Source organism: Homo sapiens, chromosome 5, assembly GCF_000001405.40.
Source record: "Homo sapiens chromosome 5, GRCh38.p14 Primary Assembly".
NCBI lineage: Eukaryota > Metazoa > Chordata > Mammalia > Primates > Hominidae > Homo > Homo sapiens.
The window spans coordinates 160,177,360-160,194,421 of NC_000005.10; the positions used below are offsets into that span (position 1 = coordinate 160,177,360).

Sequence of the window (17,062 nt, forward strand, 5' to 3'; positions counted from 1 at the left end):
CTGTCCTCGAGAATCTAAGGTTTAGTTGGGGAGTCAGAGAAATGAGCAGGCAATGACAATCCAGTGTGACAGCTGCTGTGACAGGGAGGGAAAGGGAGCTTGGTGTCCAGGGGATGCACCTACCCAAACATGGGAGTGCTGGCTTCCTGCTCTTGCCTCTTCTCTGGCCTCCTCTGATCCAGCCACACTGGTCTGTCCATTCTTCTTCTTTTTTATTTTTTGAGACAGAGTCTTGCTCTGTCGCCCAGGTTGGAGTGCAATGGCACGATCTCGGCTCACTGCAACCTCCACCTCCTAGGTTCAAGAGATTCTCCCGTCTCATCCTCCCTAGTAGCGGGGATTACAGGCACGTGCCATCATACCCAGCTAATTTTTTGTATTTTAGTAGAGACGGGGTTTTACCATGTTGCCCAGGCTGGTCTCAAACTCCTGAGCTCAGGCAATCCACCTGCTGCGGCCTCCCCAAGTGCTAGGATTACAGGCATGGGTCACTGATCCTAGCCCCAGTCTTTCCATTTTTCTAAAGAGGCATATCCTTCCTGTCTCCCAGCTGTGCATATGCTGCTGCCTCCTCCCAGAGTGCTCCTACCCCACCTATCTCAGCCCTTGTTTCTGTCCCTCCCATGTTCACCCTAACTTAAATTCCGCACCCCCCTTTTTTTTTGAGGTAGAGTCTTGTTCTGTTGCCCAGGCTGGAGTGAAGTGGCGCGATCTCGGCCCACTGCAACCTCTGCCTCCCAGGTTCAAGCAATTCTCCTGCCTCAGCCTCCTGAGTAGCTGGGACTACAGGCATGCGCCACCAAGCCTGGCTAACTTTTGTGTTTTTAGCAGAGACGGGGTTTCACTATGTTGGCCAGGCTGGCTTCAAACTACTGGCCTCAAGTGATCTGCCCACCTCAGCCTTCCAAAGTGCTGGGATTATAGACTTGAGCCACCATGCCTGACCTCCTTTTTCTTTTTCTCTCTTTTTTTTATTTTTTTTGAGATAGAGTTTCACTCTTGTTGCCCAGGCTGGAGTGCAATAGCGCGATCTTGGCTCACCGCAACCTCCACCTCCCGGGTTCAAGCTATTCTCCTGCCTCAGCCTCCTGAGTAGCTAAGATTACAGGCGCATGCCACCATGCCTGGCTAATTTTGTATTTTTAGTAGAGACGGGGTTTCTCCATGTTGGCCAGGCTGGTCTCGAACTCCTGACCTCAGGTGATCTGCCCACTTTGGCCTCCCAAAGTGCTGGGATTACAGGCATGAGCCACTGCGCTCCAGCGACCTCCTTTTCTTAAATGAAATTGTTTAATTGACTGTCCCCTCCCATAAAAATCTGTAAACTGCTCAGTGATGTGCACCTGTAGTCCCAGCCACTCAGGGGTCTGAGGCAGGAAGTTCACATGAGCCCAGGAGTTCAAGTCTAGCCTGAGCAACATAGCAAGACCCTCTTATTTATTTATTTATTCATTTATTTATTTATTTATTTATGAGACTGAGTTTCACTCTTGTTGACCAGGCTGGAGTGCAGTGGTACGATCTCGACTCACTGCAACATTTACCTCCAGGGTTCAAGCGATTCTCCTGACTCAGCCTCCTGAGTAGCTAGGATTACAGGTGCACGCCACCATGCCCGGCTAATTTTTGTATTTGTAGTAGAGATAGGGTTTCACCATGTTGGCCAGGCTGGTCTCAGACTCCTGACCTCATGATCTGCCCATCTCGGCCTCCCGAAGTGCTGGGATTGCAGGTGCGAGCCACTGTGTCCAGTCTGGTTTTTGTTTTTTTATTATTATTTTTTAACCTTTTTTTGAGACCGAGTCTCCCTCTATTGCCCAGGCTAGAGTGTGATGGCACGATCTAGGCTCACTGCAACCTGCACCTCCCAGGTTCAAGTGATTCTTCTGCTTCAGCCTCCTAAGTAGCTGGGATTACAGGCACATGCTACCACGCCCGGCTAATTTTGGTATTTTTAGTAGAGGCGGGGTTTCACCATGTTGGCCAGGCTGGTCTCGAACTCCTGACCTCAGGTGATCTGCTGCCTCAGCCTCCCAAAGTGCTGGGATTACAGGCATGAGCCCCCATGCCCAGCAGGAGAGGGGGATGGGCGTGGTGGCTCACACCCATAATCCCAGCACTTTGGGAGGCCGAGGCAGGCAGATCACGAGGTCAGGAGTTCGAGACCAGTCTGACGAACATGGTGAAACCCCGTCTCTACTAAAAATACAAAAATTAGAGTCTGGGTGTGGTGGCTCATGACTGTAATCCCAGTACTTTGGGAGGTCGAGACGAGCTGATCACGAGGTGAGGAGTTCGAGACCAGCCTGGCCAACATGGTAAAACCCTATCTCTACTAAAAATACAAATATTAGACGGGTGTGGTGGTGTGCACCTGTAATCTCAGCTACTTGGGAGGATGAGGCAGGAGAATCTCTTAAAACTGGGAGACAGAGGTTGCAGTGAGCCGAGATCTCGCCACTGCACTCTGGCCTTGGTAAAAGAGTGAAACTCTGTCTCAAAAAAAAAAAAAAAAAAAATTAACTGGGCATGGTGATGGGCGCCTGTAATCCCAGCTACTCAGGAGGCTGAGGCAAGAGAATCGCTTGAATCCGGGAGGCAGAGGTTGCAGTGAGCCAAGACCCACCACTGCACTCCAGTGGCTCACGCCTGTAATCCCAGCACTTTGGGAGGCCAAGGCAGGCAGATCACGAGGTCAGAAGATCGAGACCATCCTGGCTAACATGGTGAAACCCTGTCTCTACTAAAAATACAAAAAATTAGCTGAGCATGGTGGCAGGCACCTGTAGTCCCAGCTACTCGGGAGGCTGAGGCAGGAGAATGGTGTGAACCTAGGAGATGGAGCTTGCAGTGAGCCGAGATCACACCACTGCACTCCAGCCTGGGCGATAGTGAGACTCTGCCTCAAAAAAAAAAAAAAAAAAAAAAGATGGGGATGCGGGGGTGACAGCCATGATGGCTCATGCCTGTAATCCCAGCACTTTCGAAGGCTGAGGCAGGTGAAATGCTTGAGTCCAGGATTTTGAGACCAGCCTGGGCAACAAAACAAGAGCCTATCTCTACAAAATATAAAAAATTAACTGGGCGTGGTGGCACACATGCCTGTAGTCCTAGCTACTCAGGAGGCTGAGCAGGAGGATTGCTTGAGCCTAGGAGGCTGAGGCTGCAGTGAGATATGACTATGCCACTACACTCTCGCCTGGGCAGCAGAATGAAACCTTGTCTCAAAAAATAAAAATAGGCCAGGCACAGTGGCTCATGCGTGTAGTCTCAGGAGGTTGGGAGGCCAACATGGGCCGATGATTTGAGGTCAGGAATTCAAGACTTCCTGGCCAATGTGGTGAAACCCCATCTCTACTAAAAATACAAAAATTAGTCAGGCATGGTGGCGTATGCCTGTAGTCCCAGCTACTCTGGAGGCTAAGGCAGGATAATCAATTGAGCCCAGGAGGCGAGGGTTGCAGTGAGCCAAGATCGTGCCCTTGCACTCCAGCCTGGGTGACAGAGCAAGACTCCATTTTTAAAAAATAAAAAATAAAATAAAAATAAGAAATAAAACAAAAATCTGCAAGCTCCTATAAAACAGGGACAGAGTATATCTTGTTCACTCCTAGATCCCAATCCCACAGACTGGCACAAGGTAAGTGTTCTCTCCATGTGAATTGAATGAATGAATGCATGCATGAATGAATGAATGAAGGTGAGACTTGAAAAATAAATTGAGAGCTAAGATAATGCCAGGCATAGGGAATGGCTTGTACAAGGGCCAGGAGTCAAGAGAAAATGGTATAGTCAGAGAACCGAAAGGACTGAAAGATCTGAAACCATTTTTATCTTCTCTGGGCCCTTAGCCATGCACACAGGGGATCTTCAGGAAGTGCGGAAGCCTTCCTTCTCTTTCCACCTCTGTTTTGTGAATAGAAAAACAGTAGCAGGGCCGGGCATAGTGGCTCACCCCTGTAATCCCAGCACTTTGCAAGGCTGAGGTGAATGGATCGCTTGAGCTCAGGAGCTCAAGATCAGCCTGGGCGATATGGTGAAACCACATCTCTACAAAAACTATAAAAATCAACCAAGTGTGGTGGTGTGCACCTGTAGTCCCAGCTGCTTTGGAAGCTTAGGTGGGAGGATCTCTTGAGCCTGGAAGGTTGAGGCTGCAGTGAGTTGTGTTCAAGCCACTGCATTCCAGCCTGGGTGACAAAGTGAGACCCTGTCTCAAAAAGAAAAGAAAAGAAAAGAAAAATAGTAGCAGGATGAGATGGTGCCTGAGAGTTCCTAGGACAGGAACTGTGCCTCATTCACCCCTGATCCTCAGTGCCTGGTATAGGCTGGCACATAGTAGGTATTCAGTAGGTTTTGGAATTGAATGACGCTGAAAAGACATTCAGCTCTCAGGTGCAAAAGCAATGCTATATGATAATTCCAGAATGTCAGCTCCAGCAAGTTCTTCATAGACCAACCTGCCTCATGTTACAAATGGGGAAACCGAGCCCCAGAGTGAGAAGTGGATTTGTGCAAACTCACACAGCAAGTCAGTGGCAGAGTTGGTATGGGAGCCCAGATATATCCCGACTGCTGGTTCAGATCGTCTCCCACTCTGTCCCACCATCTATCAATCCACCTCCTGACCCTTCCTGTCCTCTGACTTTCAAGATGTCAGAAACCAGCAGATTGGAGCCAACAGGAAATCCCCAAGTGCCTTTTAGTAGGGTGAAGGCATTAGGTTACAGGGCGGGCAGATGGGGCGTCCCATTAGTGAACTGACACTGGGTTCCTGTAGGTTCCATTAGTGTCTCCGATATTGACCCATTAGCACCCACTGAAAGCCGGAAGCACAGGGACCAGGGACCTCAGAGGGGATGAGTCACCGAGTAAATCAGCTTTGATGAGGCTGAGGGAGCAGAGTTGGAGAGACAGAGGAGTCTTTCCTCTTTCCTTGGAAAGTGGGCTCAAAAGCAGTAAGAGAGTGCCCAGCAGTATCAGGGATGATAAGGACCAGGCACGACTCAGAATCATGGCATTTCGGACCTCCAGAGAACCCGATGAACTGACCCATTCTACAGATGTAAAAACCGAGCATCTGAGAGAAGAAATTTGTCTCTGAGTTACTCATGGAGAACCAAGGTTTCCTGCCTGTCACACTATATTATGGGACTCAAGTGTGCCCTAGGAATTACAGCCAAAACTACAGTCACTGTGCTAACTGCTTTACAAACATTATTTCATTTTTTAATTATTATTATTATTATTATTTTTGAGACAGGGTTTTGCTCTGTCACCCAAGCTGGAGTGCAATGGTGTGATCTTGGCTCACTGAAACCTCCGCCTCCCGGGTTCAAGCGATTCTCCTGCCTCAGCCTCCCGAGTAGCTGGGATTACAGGCGCCCGCAATCACGCCCGGCTGATTTTTGTATTTTTAGTAGAGACGGGTTTTCGCCATGTTGGGCAGGCTGGTCTCAAACTGCTGACCTCAGGTGATCCACCCGCCTCAGCCTCCCAAAGTGCTGGGATTACAGGTGTGAACCACCATGCCCGGCCTATTTCATTTTATTCTCATAGCAATCCTGGGAGATAGGTACCATCAGCCCGATTTACAAAGCAAAACTGTCATTCTTCTATGCAGCAGAAACTGTCTGCTGAGCCCTCCAAGGGCATGCTTTTTATTGCAAACACTTCAAGGTGATATTATCATCCTGTTTCACAGGTGGAAAACCCAAGGCACAGTGAGGCCAAGTGACCTGCCCCATGTCACACACATAAATAATGTCAGAAACTCCTGACTGTTTCAATGCAAAGCTAAAGCTCTCAGCCTATCCACTACATGAATGTGATGAACACCACCCCCACATTCCACACTATGACAGCTGTGTAATGTGCCACCTCCGTGCTTGGCATCCAGACTGATTCATCCACTTATTCATCCGTTCATTCACTCATTCAACACACATAATATTGAGCTCCTGCCATGTGCCAGGCCCCTGATTACAAGACCAATGTAGCTTACCTTCCACTTGGGGGACAGGACAGACAGACAAGCAATTCCAGCATGGTACAGGTGAACATTGAATGTTATGGCATGATCTAGACATATGGGGCAGAGAAGGCCAAGTTGAGTCTTGCAGGACAAATAAGTGTTGTCCAGGCAAAGAGAGGAGCCAGGACCAGCACATACAGAGGCCAGAGGCATACAAGAGCACCCAAGCAGCACCACAGGGAAGGGGGGATGAGAGGTGGAACTGCAGATTCCAGAAGTGGCTGGAGTTTGGGGTTTAGCCAGGAGACAAATGGGAGCCACTGCGTGGTATGAGGCATGGTAGCATGGATTTGTACATAGAAAGCTTGGGGTCTGGAGGAAGGATGCAGTGGGGTAAGAGGTAGATGCCTAGAGGCTGGTTTGGTGGAGTTTCCAGAGATAAGGAAGGTCTTTAATGATTGATTAGATCTAGGAGTGAGAGGTATGGGGAGGTCTGGTTTCTTTTCTTTTCTTCTTTTCTTTTCTTTTTTTTTTTTTTTTTTGAGACGGAGTCTTGCTCTGTAGCCCAGGCTGGAGTGCAATGGCGTGATCTCAGCTCACTGCAATCTCCGCCTCCTAGGTTCAAGTGATTCTCCTGCCTCAGCCTCCCGAGTAGCTGGGATTATAGACACCCACCACCATGCCCAGCTAATTTTTGTATTTTTAGTAGAGATGGGGGTTTCACCATGTTGGCCAGGTTGGTCTCAAACTCCTGACCTCAGGTGATCAGCCTGCCTCCGCCTCCCAAAGTGCTGGGATTACAGGCATCAGCCACCATGCCCAGCTTGCTTGCTTGCTTGCTTGCTTCCTTCCTTTCTTCCTTCCTTTCCTCCCTCCCTCCTTCCCTCCCTCCATCCTTCCCTCCCTCCCTCCTTCTTTTCTTTTCTTTTTTTCTTTTTTCTTTTTTTCTTCCTTTGTTTCTTCTTTTTGAGACAGGGGCCAGGGGTGTTTCATTCTGTCACCCAGGCTGGAGTGTAATGGCACAATCAGCTCACCACAACCTCAAATTCCTGGGCTCAAGCAATCCTCCTGACTCAGCCTCCCAAGTAGCTGGGACCATAGCCGCGTGCCACCATTCTTGGCTAATTTTTTTGTAGCGATGGGGTCTTGCTATCTTGTTCAGGCTGGTCTTGAACTCCTGACTTAAAGAGATCCTCCAACTTTGGCCTCCCAAAGTGCCGGGATTACTGGAGTGAGCCATGGTGTCTGGCTGTGGGAGGCCTGGTTTCTAACAGGCATGATAGGCACATGGTGGGCGAGGGCTGGGAATGAGACCCCTGCAAGAGAAGTCTGGGGAAGAGAGGTAAGTTCTATTTTAGACTCAGTGAGGGTGAGAGGCCTAAGGGTGTCCCAGGGCCTGGATTTCAGGCCATTCTCTACAGAGCTTGAAAGGTTTCTAAAAAAAAAAAAAAAAAAAAAAAGTGCACACAAGCTTCGTGATCACTCACAGACATCCCTGAGGAGAGGTCTAGTTAGTGGCTGGACACAGGAATCTGGGGTTCAGAGAAGTCAGAACTGAAGAAATAAACATGGGGTGATTGGCTTATATGTACTTTTTTTTTGAGAAGGAGTTCCGCTCTTGTTGCCCAGGCTGGAGTGCAATGGCACAATCTCGGCTCACTGCAACATCTGCCTCCTGGGTTCAAGCGATTCTCCTGCCTCAGCCTCCCGAGTAGCTGAGATTACAGGCATGAGCCACCATGCCCAGTTAATTTTGTTTTTTTTGTTTGTTTGTTTTTGTTTTTGTTTTTTTTTGAGACGGAATCTCGCTCTGTCACCCAGGCTGGAGTGCAGTGGTGCGATCTCGGCTCACTGCAAGCTCCGCCTCCCGGGTTCATGCCATTCTCCTGCCTCAGCCTCCTGAGTACCTGGGACTACACGTGCCTGCCACCACGCCAGGCTAGTTGTTCTGTATTTTTAGTAGAGACAGGGTTTCACCGTGTTAGCCAGGATGGTCTTGATCTCCTGACCTCTTGATCTGCCCGCCTCGGCCTCCCAAATGCTGGGATTACAGGCGTGAACCACCATGCCCGGGCATAATTTTATATTTTTAGTAGCGACAGGGTTTCTCCATGTTGGTCAGGCTGGTCTCGAACTCAAGACCTCAGGTGATCTGCCCACCTTGGCCTCCCAAATTGCTGGGATTACAGGCGTGAGCCACCATGCCCAGCCTATATGTGCTCTTAAATGTCTCAGCATGGGAAGGAATCACTCAGGAGAAGAGCGTTGACAAGGAAGAGAAGCAGTTCCAGGACCTCACCTGGGGGGAGCACATTATATTTTCTTGCCAAGTAGAGGAGGAACCTGTGAAGGAGAGTGAGAAGCAGCAGCCAGTGAGGCAGGAGGAAAACCAGGACATTTCTGTGAAAGAACAAAAGCTTTGCAAGAAAGCCTTTTAAGTAAGAGGAAGTAATATAAAACCAATACTAGTGGATGAATCTGGGTAAGGGAACTGTCTGGGGACAGACAGGGCTGGAAGGGAGGGGAACAAAGGACATTGGATTTGGGGCCCAGATGAAGTTGAAGATATGCTGGAGGGAGGAGTAAATGAATGGCAGGAGGAGGAAGTGCTGGTCAAAGAGAACCCCTGACCTTGGAATTTCAGAGGAAGTGTGATGCTAGGATGGGAGGCAGGGACGTGATGGTGGGAGGATGGCTGAGGTGCGTGGAGGGCACCATTGATTACAGGGACTAAGAAACAGAGGCCACATGTCAGTGGGTCCTTCAGCTGGAGGCTGAAGTGGTGGTGACAGGAATAAAGATGAAGACAGCTGTGAGCCACTCTGACCAGTGCAGAAAGTGAAGTAGAGCTTCCTCTTCAAAGGGACTTTCCTTCCCGTCTAATTAGGAATAAACAGTAACTTCTCTTAGAAGCAAAATTTATTCAAAGACCTGTGCTAACATTCTTAGAAATCTGCTAGCCATAATAAAGAAATCAATGTACTTTGTGTTCTTAGCACCCACATTTTAGCCTAGATATTTGCCCTGGCGTGCTTATACTGATCCAAGCAAGCAGTAGGTCATAGCCTGTTCCTCTTCCTTATTCGGAGGTGTTTTTACCTTTCTCAGCATTCCACAGGTTGCTTCCTCCTTCCTTTGTTCTCCTCTGCCTTTGCCTCTTTCGGAAAGTTCTAAATGACTAGCCAATCGGGACAAGTATAGAATGTGAGGTACCCTTCCAGCCAACGGAAACTGGACACAGCAGTAGGGTGGATGCATCAGGTTATAAATGACCCTGTCTCCTTTGTTCGTGTGTGCTCTTGCGAGAATTACTGATAGTGATGGCACCCTTTCTGCAGAAAGTAAACTAGCCTTGCTGAGAGATCCTTTGTTTTTTATGACACCAAGCACCTGTTCCCAACACCAGTGAGGGCCACCTCCAAGAAGCTGGCAAAAGAGAGGAACAAGAAGAGTTGTGGGCAGGAAAGATTGATGTAATGAACCCACAGGTGGTAATGTGTTTGGAAGAAGGGAGGAGAAAGGGATTGCAAGAGCCAGGTGTGGTGGCTCACACCTGTAAGCTCAACACTCTGGGAGGCCGAGGAGGGCGGATCACTTGAGCTCAGGAGTTTGAGACCAGTCTGGGCAACATGGTGAGATCCCGTCTGTACCAAAAATACAAAAACTTAGCTGGGCCTGGTGGTGCCCATCGGTGGTCCCAGCTACTTGGGAGGTTGAGGTGGAAGTTAAGCTGGAGAGTGGGGCATTAGGGGGGTGGGGGTTGCAGTGAGCCGAGATTGGGCCACTGCACTCTAACCTGGGTGACATAGTGAAAAAAAAAAAAAGATTGCAAGAGAGTGAACTGACCTCCCAGGCCCTGATCTACAGGGTGTGTGAGAAAATTAAAAACAGGTGGCACCGGCCTGTAGTCCCAGCTACTCAGGAGAAAGAGGCGGGAGGATCGCTTGAGCCCAGGAGGCTGGGTAGAGCCTGCAGAGAGCTATGATTACACTACTGCACTCCAGGCTGGGTGACCCTGTTTCCAACAACAACAGCGACAACAAAACAGATTACTTTGAAGGGACTAGAAGGAGGACACAGGGTCCTGGAGGAAGGCAGCTGGCAAGTTACAGAGCAGAAAGGTGAAGGGACTGTCCAGGGAAGAGGGGAGGCTCCAGAAGTTATCCTTGAGGAACCAACAGCACGGGGTGGGGGTTGGGGGGGAGCTCATGGAAGGGTGGGGAAACTGGGGAAAGGGAAAACTCGAGTCAGATCAGGAGTAGAGCCCTGACTTGGGGGAACAAGGGTGCAGGTGATGGAAGCTGGGAGCTGTGGGAAGCTTGAGCCTGTAGTGCTGAAGGGTCTACCCATTCCATCAACAGTTCCTCTCCAGCAACTGTTCTGAGCTGCACCCTTAAAAATATTTGCTATTATTTATTTATTTATTTATTTATTTTTTGAGACAGTTTCGCTCTTGCTGCCCAGGCTGGAGTGCAATGGCGCTATCTCGGCTAACCACAACCTCCGCCTCCCGAGTTCAAGCGATTCTTCTGCCTCAGCCTCCCAAGTAGCTGGGATTACAGGCATGCACCACCATGCCAGGTTAATTTTGTATTTTTAGTAGAGGCAGGGTTTCTCCATGTTGGTCAGGCTGGTCTAGAACTCCCGACTTCAGGTGATCCACCCGCCTCGGCCTCCCAAAGTGTTGAGATTACAGACGTGAGCCACTGAGACCCCGGCCTGCTAATATTTTTTATTTCTCCAGGCTACAAGAGAGGGAATCTCCTGAATTCCTCTGGGGCAGCCCTCCCAATTCACCCGGGAGAAAAGCAGGCAGGGGCCGGGCTAGGATTCCAGAGGGGCGGGAAGCCCTGGTGGAATGGGGTAGCTGGAGCCAAGCACCCCAGGAATGCCCTCCCGGCCTCTCCTCCCGATTCCTTATCAGCTACAAGCTCGAGTTTCCTCAGCCACACGCGATCAAATGCTGCTTCAGAGCTCTAGGAAGCTGGGTGTGTCTTCTGTGCTTTGTAAAAAAGAAACGAAAAAAACATTAGCAAATCCCCAGCCCAGGTAGCCGGCTGGCTGAGGGCGGACTCTTGGAACTGGGCGGTGGGAGGTGGGGGACGGGGGAGGGATTGGGGGGCCCTTGCTCCAAAGCCAAAGAGCGGGAAACAGGAACTGCAGGGAGGCCACTCCGCAGGCGCCTCCCCTTTCCCGCTGGGGAGAGGCCGCCGCCGCGCGGCGCTCGGCCTGCACCGACCCTCCGGGGACCCCGCTAAACGGAGGAGACCCCAGGCCCGGAGGTGTCGCCCCTGGGCTGCGACCCCCGACTTTGGCCGGCTTCTCCCTGCGGAGAAGGAGGCAGCGCCGGGACCGGGCTGTTAGCCACGTGCTGGGTGGCCTTGGGCAGATTGCCTCCTGTCTCTGGGCCTCAGATTTTCTCATCTAAAAAGAGGGGGCTGGACTCATTTCTGCAAGGCCCCTCCCGGTTGGAGCGGTTCCCTGCAATTCCCTTCCTTCTCTGAACTTGAAACTCTTCCCTCCCCCATCCCCTTGGGGTGGCCCCTGGATTATCTGGGTGGTGCTTATCCAGTCTGCCGCCTTGAGAGAAAATGTTGCCCTGCAGCTGTGATTTACAGCAGGGCTCTGCACCCTTTTTCTTTTTTTGTTTTTCTTTATTTTCCCTCCTTCTTTCCTTTTTACATCTAGAGTACACACTTTATGCACCCTTTTCCTATAAAGGGTCAGAGAGTAAATACTTCGGGTTTTGCAGGCCACACTCTCTGTCACAGCTATTCAACTCCGTCATTGTAGCCAAGGCAGCCATGGATAAGACATAAACGAGTGGGCATGATGTGTTTCCATGAAGCTTTGTTTATTGCAGCTGACATTTGGATTCTCACAGGTCAAGAAATCGTATTTTACTTATTATTTATTTTTTTTCTGAGACAAGAGTTTCACTCTTGTTGCCCAGGCTGGAGTGCAATGGCAGGATATCGGTTCACTGCAACCTCCACTTCCCAGGTTCAAGTGATTCTCCTGCCTCAGCCTCCCTAGTAGCTGGGATTACAGGCGCCCACCACCACACCCGGCTAATTTTGTGTATTTTTAGTAGAGATGGGGTTTCACCATGTTGGCCAGGCTGGTCTCAAACTCCTGACCTCAGGTGATCCACCCACCTCAGTCTCCCAAAGTGTTGGAATTACAGGCATGAGCCACCGCGTCAGGCCAAGAAATTGTATTCTTCTTTTTATTTTTTTCAGCCTTTTAAACCTTGGCTGGGTGCAGTGGCTCATGTCTGTAATTCCAGCACTTTGGGAGGCTAAGGCAGGAGGATCTATTGAGCCCAGGAATTGGAGACCAGCCTGGGACAACGTAGAGAGACCCTATCTCTACAAAAAATTAAAACATTAAAAAAATTTTAAGATATACTACTGACATACCTCAGAGCATAGTTGTGGGAATGAAGTGAGAATACAGATGAAGCTATCGCATAAAGGATATTATTCTTTGGGAAGTTGTTGGTATGTATGCTCAGCAGAAGATGTGGACTTAGAGATTTGGATGGTGTCTTGCTGGCCATCCACTCCCAAAATTTCGTGAGCAAAGGCACTGTGTGTGCCCACTGTGCAATAGCTCATTTAATTATCTCAGGCATAGGAGATAAAAATGACATATTCCTACTTTACAGGAGCTCAGAGCCAAGGTTTGAACTGGCTGTATTAGATCTGCCTTCAGAGCCCCTACTCATCTTCCTCCTTTCTCTCTGAACAAACTTGCCTCTGAACAAACTTGGAGTTGCTTATCTATCCAGCAACAAGACCTTAAACAGAACGCTATTTTTCTGGACATCTATAACCTCTTTGGTCAAGGGACAAGAATTAACACCTTCTATGTGCAACTGTCATCGTGTCGTAGCTTTTTTATTTTTATTTTTGAGACGGAGTTTTGCTCTTGTTGCCCAGGCTGGAATGCAATGGTGAGATCTCGGCTCACCGCAACCTCCACCTCCCGGGTTCAAGTGATTCTCCTCCCTTAGCCTCCCGAGTAGCTGGGATTACAGGCATGCACCACCACGTCCAGCTAAGTTTGTATTTTTAGTGGAGACGAGGTTTCTCCATGTTGGTCAGGCTGGTCTCGAACTCCCGACCTCAGGCGATCTGCCCACCTTGGCCTCCCAAAGTGCTGGGATTACAGGTGTGAGCCACCACGCCCAGCCTGTGTCTCAGTTTTACAGAAGAGAAAACTGAGGCTTGAGATTAAAGTAAGGATTGAAATCTAGGCCTGCCTGACCCCAAAACTGAGCTCTTTCTACTGGGAATAGCTTCAGAGTAACCAGTTGCATGGGCCCTAAGTCTAGGAGCCCTTGAGAACTCCTCCCTTCCCTTAACCTATGTCCATTATACTGGCAAGTTGTTTTGATTCATCCATGAAAATATATCCTGAATCTATTTTGGGGCTAGAGGGAAACCATAGAATGCTTTGGAAGTTATTGTGATCTTTTAAAAATGCAAATCAGGCCGGGCACGGTGGCTCATGCCCATAATCCCAGCACTTTCGGAGGCCGAGGCGGGCGGATCATGAAGTCAGGAGATCAAGACCATCCTGGCTAACACAGTGAAACCCCATCTCTACTAAACATGAAAAAAAAAAAATTAGCCAGCGTGGTGTACTCAGGAGGCAGAAGAATCGCTTGAACCCAGGAGGCAGAGGTTGCAGTGAGCTGAGATCATGCCACCGCACTCCAGCCTAGGCAACAAGAGCAAGACTCCATCTGGAAAAAAAAAAAAAAAAGCAAATCAGATCATGCCACATCCCTGCCTAGAGGCTTGGAAGATTTCCTTGTTTACTTGGAATAAAACCCCAAACCTGGCCAGGAGCAGTGGCTCATGCCTGTAATCCTAGCACTTTGAGAGGCCAAGGTGGGTGGATCACCTGAGGTCAGGAGTTCGAGACCAGCCTGGCCAACATGGTGACACCCCGTCTTTACTAAAAATACAAAAAATTAGCCAGGCATGGTGGCGGGCGCCTACAGTCCCAGCTACTCAGGAGGCTGAGGCAGGAGAATCGCTTGAAACCGGGAGGCAGAGGCTGCAGTGAGCCAAGATCATGCCATTGCACTCCAGCCTGGGCAACAAGAGTGAAACTCCATCTCAAACAAACAAACCCCAAACCTTACCTTACTAGGGCTCTGTGCCACCTAGACCCTGCCCATCTCTCTACTGTGTTCCCCTCTCATGCCCTCATTCCTTTTGCTTCAGCGTCAATGGCTTTCTTTCTGTTTCTCTTTTTATTTATTAAAAAAATTTTTTTAATTGAGATGGGGTCTCACTATATTGCCAAGGCTGGTGTTGAGATCCTGGGCTCGGCCGGGCGCGGTGGCTCACGCCTGTAATCCCAGCACTTTGGGAGGCCGAGGCGGGCAGATCACAAGGTCAGGAGATCCAGACCACCCTGGCTAACATGGTGAAACCCCATCTCTACTAAAAATACAAAAAAAAAAAAAAAAAATTAGCCAGGCATGGTGGCAGGCGCCTTGTAGTCCCAGCTACTGGGGAGGCTGAGACAGGAGAATGGCATGAATCCAGGAGGCGGAGCTTGCAGTGAGCCAAGATCACGCCACTGCACTCCAGCCTGGGTGACAGAGCGAGACTCCATCTCAAAAAAAGAAAAAAAAGAAAAAAAAAGAAATCCTGGGCTCAAGCAGTTCTCCCGCCTTGACCTCTTAAAGTGCTTTCTATTTCTCTAACTTGCCAGGGAGCCATATCCCCTTTCCCTCACCTGACCCCTTGAATTTTCCTGCCAGTATTCACAAGGGTAAAGGCCCCAATGTCACCTACCCAGCCAGCCTTCCCTGGCAATCCCCACTGGTCCTCTTTTTCTAAATTAAACATTTTAGAGATGGGGTCTTGCTATGTTGCCGAGGCTAATCTTGAACTCCTGGGCTCAAGCAATCCTCCTCCTTCAGCCTCCCAAGTGGCTGATACTACAGGCTCATACCACTGTGCCCGGCCTCGCCAGTCTTATCCCTCACCCTGTGTTCTCCTGTTTCCAGCAGTCATCCCTATCTGACATTTTTCTGCACACACTGCATCTTCCCCAGGGCAAGGTTAGCTCCATTCCTGCAGAAACCTTGCGTGTTTACTCTCCACTAAGTCCCCAGGCTTCGCCCACATCTGGCACATAGTAAGTGCTCAACATATGTCTGATGAGCTAATGGCCCATTAGGCCTGGATCCCCTCTCTATGGGAAATCATGAACTTGCAGCAAACAGAATCATCCAATAGACACTGGGCCCTACTATGCGCCTGGCACCGTGCTAGACAGCAGGGCAGCCACAGAGACACAGGCTCAGTCCTGGCTGAGGAACTCACTGGCCCACTGGGCAGAGATAATGTGCTTGTACAGTAAGGCCAGGCAAGGCGCATGCGCCCAGGTTCTACTGAAAGGCCGTCTGGGGTCAAAGGGTAGCTGGAGATAATGCCAGTGTGGCTCCTGGATCATATAAGAAATCCCACGCTGGGGTTGATGGCTCATGCCTGTAATCCCAGCACTTTGGGAGGCTGAGGTGGGAGGATTGCTTGAAGTCAGGAGTTTGAGACCAGCCTGAGCAACATAGTGAGACCCTGTCTCTACAAAAAATAAAAAATAAGCCAGGCATGGTGGTGCACACCTGTAGTCTGAACTACTTGGGAAGCTGAGGCAGGAGGATTGCTTAAGCCTGGGAGATTGTGTGTCCGGAATTGGTGGGTTCTTGGTCTCACTGACTTCAAGAATGAAGCCACGGACCCTTGCGGTGAGTGTTACAGCTCTTAAGGTGGCACGTCTGGAGTTTGTTCCTTCTGATGTTCGGATGTGTTCAGAGTTTCTTCCTTCTGGTGGGTTCGTGGTCTCGCTGGCTCAGGGGTGAAACTGCAGACTTTCGCGGTGAGTGTTGCGGCACGTCTGGAGTTGTTCGTTCCTCCCGGTGGGCTCGTGGTCTCGCTGGCTTCAGGAGTGAAGCTGCAGACTTTCACGGTAAGTGTTATAGCTCATAAAAGCAGTGGGGACCCAAAGAGTGAGCAGTAGCAAGATTTATTGCAAAGAGCAAAAGAACAAGGCTTCCACAGTGTGGAAGGGGACCCGAGCGGGTTGCGACTGCTGGCTCAGGCAGCCTGCTTTTATTCTCTTATTTGGCCCCACCCACATCCTGCTGATTGGTAGAGCCGAGTGGCCTGTTTTGGCAGGGTGCTGATTGGTGCGTTTACAATCCCTGAGCTAGATACAAAGGTTCTCCTCATCCCCATCAGATTAGTTAGATACAGAGTATCCACACAAAGGTTCTCCAAGGCCCCACCAGAGCAGCTAGATACAGTGTCGATTGGTGCACTCACAAACCCTGAGCTAGACACAGGGTGCTGATTGGTGTGTTTACAAACCTTGAGCTAGATAGAGAGTGCCGATTGGTGTTTTTACAATCCCTGAGCTAGACATAAAGATTCTCCACCTCCCCACCAGACTCAGGAGCCCAGCTGGCTTCACCCAGTGGATCCCGCACCAGGGTTGCAGGTGGAGCTGCCTGCCAGTCACGCGCCATGCGCTCGCACTCCTCAGCCCTTGGGCGGTCGATGGGACTGGGCGCCGTGGGGCAGGGGGCGGCGCTCGTCGGGGAGGCTCGGGCTGCACAGGTGCCCACGGAGGCGGGGGAAGGCTCCTGCATGGCTGGCTGCAGGTCCCGAGCCCTGCCCCATGGGAAGGCAGCTAAGGCCCGGCGAGAAATCAAGCGCAGCGCCGGTGGGCCGGCACTGCTGGGGGACCCAGTACACCCTCCGCAGCCGCTGGCCCAGGTGCTAAGTCCCTCATTGCCCGGGGCCAGCAGGGCCGGCCGGCTGCTCCCAGTGCGGGACCCACCAAGCCCACGCCCACCGGCAACTCCAGCTGGCCCGCAAGCGCCGCACGCATCCGCACGCAGCCCCAGTTCCTGCTCGCGCCTCTCCCTCCACACCTCCCTGCAAGCTGAGGGAGTGGGCTCCAGCCTTGGCCAGCCCAGAAAGGGACTCCCACAGTGCAGTGGTGGGCTGAAGGGCTCCTCAAGTGCCGCCAAAGTGGGAGCCCAGGCAGAGGAGGCCC

General features: G+C 50.5%; 1 protein-coding gene across 1 annotated transcript in view, besides 2 other annotated features; it reads left to right on the plus strand.

Annotated features, from left to right (window-relative positions):
• FABP6 (fatty acid binding protein 6) overlaps positions 10,022-17,062 on the plus strand; it is a 51,342-nt gene continuing 44,301 nt past the window's right edge. The window contains exon 1 of the mRNA NM_001130958.2: positions 10,022-10,095. The gene's annotated coding sequence lies outside the window, so the exon portion shown is untranslated. The remainder of the gene's footprint in view (positions 10,096-17,062) is intronic.
• Positions 11,119-11,218: a silencer, noted in NCBI's record as "silent region_16579". NCBI's record gives its function as "represses an Ori minimal core promoter by ATAC-STARR-seq in GM12878 lymphoblastoid cells {active_cell/tissue: GM12878}" and the evidence as "EXISTENCE:reporter gene assay evidence [ECO:0000049][PMID:35858748]".
• Positions 16,074-16,274: a silencer, noted in NCBI's record as "peak5559 fragment used in MPRA reporter construct". NCBI's record gives its function as "represses an SCP1 promoter by STARR-seq MPRAs in K562 erythroleukemia cells {active_cell/tissue: K562}" and the evidence as "EXISTENCE:reporter gene assay evidence [ECO:0000049][PMID:32103011]".